Source organism: Homo sapiens, chromosome 18, assembly GCF_000001405.40.
Source record: "Homo sapiens chromosome 18, GRCh38.p14 Primary Assembly".
In the NCBI taxonomy this organism is placed as follows: Eukaryota; Metazoa; Chordata; class Mammalia; order Primates; family Hominidae; genus Homo; species Homo sapiens.
The window spans coordinates 75,428,022-75,432,702 of record NC_000018.10 but is presented as its reverse complement, the minus strand read 5'-3'; the positions used below and the strand labels follow the sequence as shown (position 1 = coordinate 75,432,702).

General features: G+C 44.7%; 1 annotated feature.

Annotated features, from left to right (window-relative positions):
- Nucleotides 1,708-2,907: an enhancer, noted in NCBI's record as "BRD4-independent group 4 enhancer chr18:73141751-73142950 (GRCh37/hg19 assembly coordinates)". NCBI's record gives its function as "activates an origin of replication core promoter dependent on BRD2, P300/CBP, MED14 and CDK7 cofactors, and independent of BRD4, by STARR-seq in HCT116 cells {active_cell/tissue: HCT116}" and the evidence as "EXISTENCE:reporter gene assay evidence [ECO:0000049][PMID:35650434]".

The following is a 4,681-nucleotide window of genomic DNA, read 5'->3' as shown; positions in this document are numbered from 1 at the left end:
TGCTGATCTTATTAGTTTTTTCCTGAAAGTTCAGACATATTCCATTCTGGGATTATGCAAATTATGCTTAACTGGAGACTATATAGGTTATTATATAGGTTATTATAATTTCTCTTGAGCTAATTCTATTAGCTTAACTTTTGAAGTATTTTAGCTACTAGAATTTTCAAATTTATGTGTTTCTCTTTTCTTCCTTAAAGAAACTATCAAGGGCTTGCCCCAGTTCAAGGTCTTAAAACAACAAAAGAGATAGATATACATGGAATTAAGAAAAAATATCACTCAAAAAATTACGACCAAAGAAGAATCATGTTTTGTAAATTCTTTCATGTCACCTAATTTTAATCCACAAATTGGAGTCTGATTTAAAATAGGAGAAAACTCTCAATAAGGATTTTTGCAGAGTACGTAAGACATATAAAACTCCCCTCATGGAAGCCAGGCCGTCTTTCTTCCAACAAGATGAAATCAATCATTTGTCAGGGCTTACCATAGTAAAGCAAGTTCATACAGTAAATGAAAGATACATACATTAAGAAGACAAGGTTCTTGACTCAATGGACTTAGAGTTGAAAGGAAGATGAGGCTTCTAAGAACACAAATCACTCCTGGGCAGCTAGAGGCCGGGGCAAGTGCCTCTAGGATACTCAACTTAGCGGGTGGGCTGGGGAAGCCCAGGGAAAGAAGGATCTCTTCAGAGACCAAGAAAGGCTTCCTGAAGGAGACTGTGTTTGAACTGGGATTTGGTCAGAAGAGTTGAGTGTCCCAGAGAGAAGAACTCACACAAGCAAAGGACACAAAAGGGGCAACATTAAGAGACAGTCCCCAGGACCAGAGGGAGGCTGTATAAGGTGAAGGGTTTGGTGCAGCTACAAGTAGATTAGGACGGGGAATATGGGGCATGGCCAATACTTTGAAATGTTTGGGCTTCCTTTTGCAACCTGTGAGCACCCCTTGAAGGTCTGAGGATTGGCTGAGCATGAGAGTAACATGATTTAGACATGGGCATTAGGCCATTCTATGGAGATAGCTGGGCCGCTGAGTGACCAGTGCAGCCATGCGTACCCTCCAGCAGCATGAGGGTCCAGATTAGCGCAGAACTCTGAGATATTAAAGAGGGGTGGGAAGGGTACGTGAAGCCAGAACCACCAGGGGTGGGAGGAAGGGGATGGCTGACAATGGCAGCGGCTAACTAGATGGCTGGTGATACCATTCACAGGAGCAGGGAAATCACAGAAAGGTGGAGCTGGAGGTTGGCCAGGCAAATGGAGTGTTTGGGGATGCCAGTGAGGCTGACTAGGAGAAGCTCTATGCGTGGTCTGCAGGCAGATGATCAGGAATTTGAAGTTAGTGAATAAAACACAAAAGGGAATGTAGACAACATCACACAACAGTCAAGAACAGCTCCAGGGGAGTCCACTTTTCAAGAGGAAGAGAAGAGAACAAAGAGACAAAACAGCCAAAGCGGGGTCCCACAAACAGGGTCACGGTGCAGAGAGGGGCACACAGGGTCTGAGAGTCTGGGGGAAAAGAACGCTGCTGACATAGTGCATGGCTTCTCAACGGCCTCACAGCACAGCTGCCACAGAGGCAGGGTGGAATCTTCCCAAAAGTGAACATGTGTCTGTGTGTGCCTGAGGCCTGCATGGGAACTTGAGACTTGGAGCTGGAACTAGGTAGCAGGACTCAGAAAACGGAGTCAGGTGTGAAGATCACAGTAAGGACCAGACAATCTGAGGGGGACTGAGATCCAGAAAGAGAACCCGAGCACAGGGACACACTTCACAAGCAAGCCTAATGAAGAGGCTCCAAAAGCCAGGGAGTGACGAAGAGGGAAGGGATGCAAGCCAGGTTCTTTCTGGCAATGTGCAGCCTCCAAACCCCACTTCACGAAAGGACCAGCTTTAGTGTCTGATGCACACTCTTCAAATTTAGCAATAAGCTCTACCAACCAACAATCTATGTTTCCAGGGATGATGATGGCTGTTCCTTCAGAGGCATCGAACCGGTGTCCTGAACTCCTCTGCACTGACTGGGACACCGCAGACCCCTCAGAGGGAAGGAATCGTGCCTATTCATTCCAGATGCGGTGTATGCAGACAGCTCTCTTCACAAGTCCAAAGTTGAGATAACTTCTATGTGCTTGAAAAGTCTCCTTTTCTATGACAGTTTAAAGAAAACATTTTCTTCCAAAGAAAAAAAATATGGCTTACTCTCTATTTTTAGGGGCAAAATAGCAGCAGCAGCTGAAAGTAAAAACCTTTGGGCTCTCACAATCCCATAAAAAAAGCAATAAGATTCTCTAATAAAGCGGGTTAACAGGATAACCTGGACCAAGTCTCTAAATACCGAAGACCCATGGAGGGAGCAGATTCATTTAACTAAGACTCTAATCAGAGGCCACTGATTAATCTTAATCCTACAAATCATCTACTGTGACTCAGCCCATAAACTGCGGGATCTTTCATTCTCATGCCTCATAATAGGTGTGGGAGGAGCCCAACTGACATAAGAAGACTGTGGCATGACATCATAAAAATCACCAAGTGGCATTGTTAAACACCCCCATACGGTTATGAGCCGCACTGCTATGCTAAGCACAGCACGCACACTCAGGAGTGATCTCTCCACTGCTCCTCTGCTGCGTGGGTGACGAGGCTTCTCATTAGTTATCCATGTCCTCGTCTAATCACAAATGCGTTAGTCAAAAACCAGGGCATGTGAGAGTTTATAGGAAACAGGACATCTAAACCTCAAATGAGGGAAGGGAGGAAAAGGAGGGAGGGGTGGGGAAGGTAAGATTCACCAAATTCATTTTGTTTTCTATCACCTGGTACTTCTCCTGGTCTTAGCAGGCCTACGGTTCATTGGCACATGCTTCAGGCTGTAGCCCAAGGCTGGTTTAATCTACTACAGGGTTTAAGTTTTCAAAAAGAATTTTCAGCAGATGCACTAGATATGGTCAAATATTTCAGTGTTGTTCCTAATTATTTGAAGTTAACCACCTAACATCCACAGACTATAGATTACCCTCACCCAGGTCTTCAGCCCCAGTTGATTCAGAGGGCTGTTTAGAATTAACACCCAGTTTTCCTTCCTTAATCCACAGACAACCACACTTAAAGGACAGCTAAGAAGCCGCAATCCCTTCCCAGCAAATAGTGCTTATTATCTTACAGAGCAGGTTCACATCTTGTCACTTCACTTTGACCTCCTGGTTATCCTGCCTATTTTGTAGGAAAGGAAACTGAGGCCTACAAAGGTTGGGTCAATTGTCCTAGGTCATGTGGAGGGCAATCGGTTCAGCCAGGATTTAAACCGCCTTTGCTCTGTTTCTGGTCCTCATAGGTTCTCTACCAGAACTACAGAAGGACAGGAAGAGCTAGAAAAACCATTCCAGAGCTCAACTATAACTGGGCATAAACTCTGAGCTCATTAGAAAACTAGAAAACTATATCCTTTTGCTCTTGTTCACAACTTTTAAGTTGAACTTATCCATAAAGAGGAATTACCATGTTTACAGATTGTAGTGGCCTGATTTGCATATGCTTATCATGAAAATAAACATGATTATGGTTGTTTTTTCCCCTAAGTCTAGTTGGCAGAGAGCAACTTCGTCCCTCCTTGGCACCTGTCTCAACTGTCATAGACCAAGCTGTCCCTCCTAGATGAGGTCTCTTTCCACCCCCTACACCCCACTGTCTTTTAGCAGCTGGAAGTTTAAGGCCTGTGGGAAATTGAAGATTAATTTTTAGTCAGTGTTTTTTTTTTCTCTTTTCTTTAAATCACCAACTCTGAGAATTCTAGATGTTACTCTGCATATGTGTGCTCCACAACTATCAACTTTCACAATTTGGGATCTGCTACAAAACGGGCTTCCGAGCTCCCTTCCTGTCCCTCCACACAGGTCTCAAGCCTCCTCTGTCTCTGCTCCCTCTGCACGTTTCTGCCTTTCCCTTGTCCATGGCCTTGGTGGGACCCACCATTTTTTGCTCTTCTTTCTAGAGAATGAGTCTTGTCTCCAACTAGATGGGAAAAACCACTCAGGACAAGACCATCAGAACAGCACTGGGCTACTGATTTGTATGCTGTGCATATGGTCACTGTTCACATAATAACAGGTATTTTCTTAGTCATACTGTGCGTCAAGCACAGTGCATACTGTCCTGGGCATTTTTACTCAACACCAACACTGTGGAGCACCCATCATGAGCTTCTGTAGGCTGGGACTCACAACTATGTGCATCTCTCTTCATCAGGCACCTTGTCAAAAGCCATCCACACTATGGGGATAACGCTGCAAGTATTTGGTGAACGTGTGTGTGTTAAGTACCACTTAATTTTCCGCTCATTGGGCACCATTTACAAACAGTGGAAGATCTGTGAAAATTCCCATGAGGCAGCACAGCAGCATCCAGAGGCCACCACACACGTCTCATGGCTACTCTCCACCCTGCGATGATGGTCTGCACAGCGCTTCTTCCTGGGGTAGCTCCCAAGTAACCTCCATTCAGCTTTCCTCCTGCTGTTCCATGGTGCTTGTCTTCCAGCAGAATCTCTCTCACTTTAACAATTAAATGGACAACCCAGGAAACCTACACTTGGAATTCAGCGAAAGAAATGTTAGTCTCCTGTGGAGTGTCTCATTAGGTTAAAAGAAAGTTACTGAAAAGTCTGATGG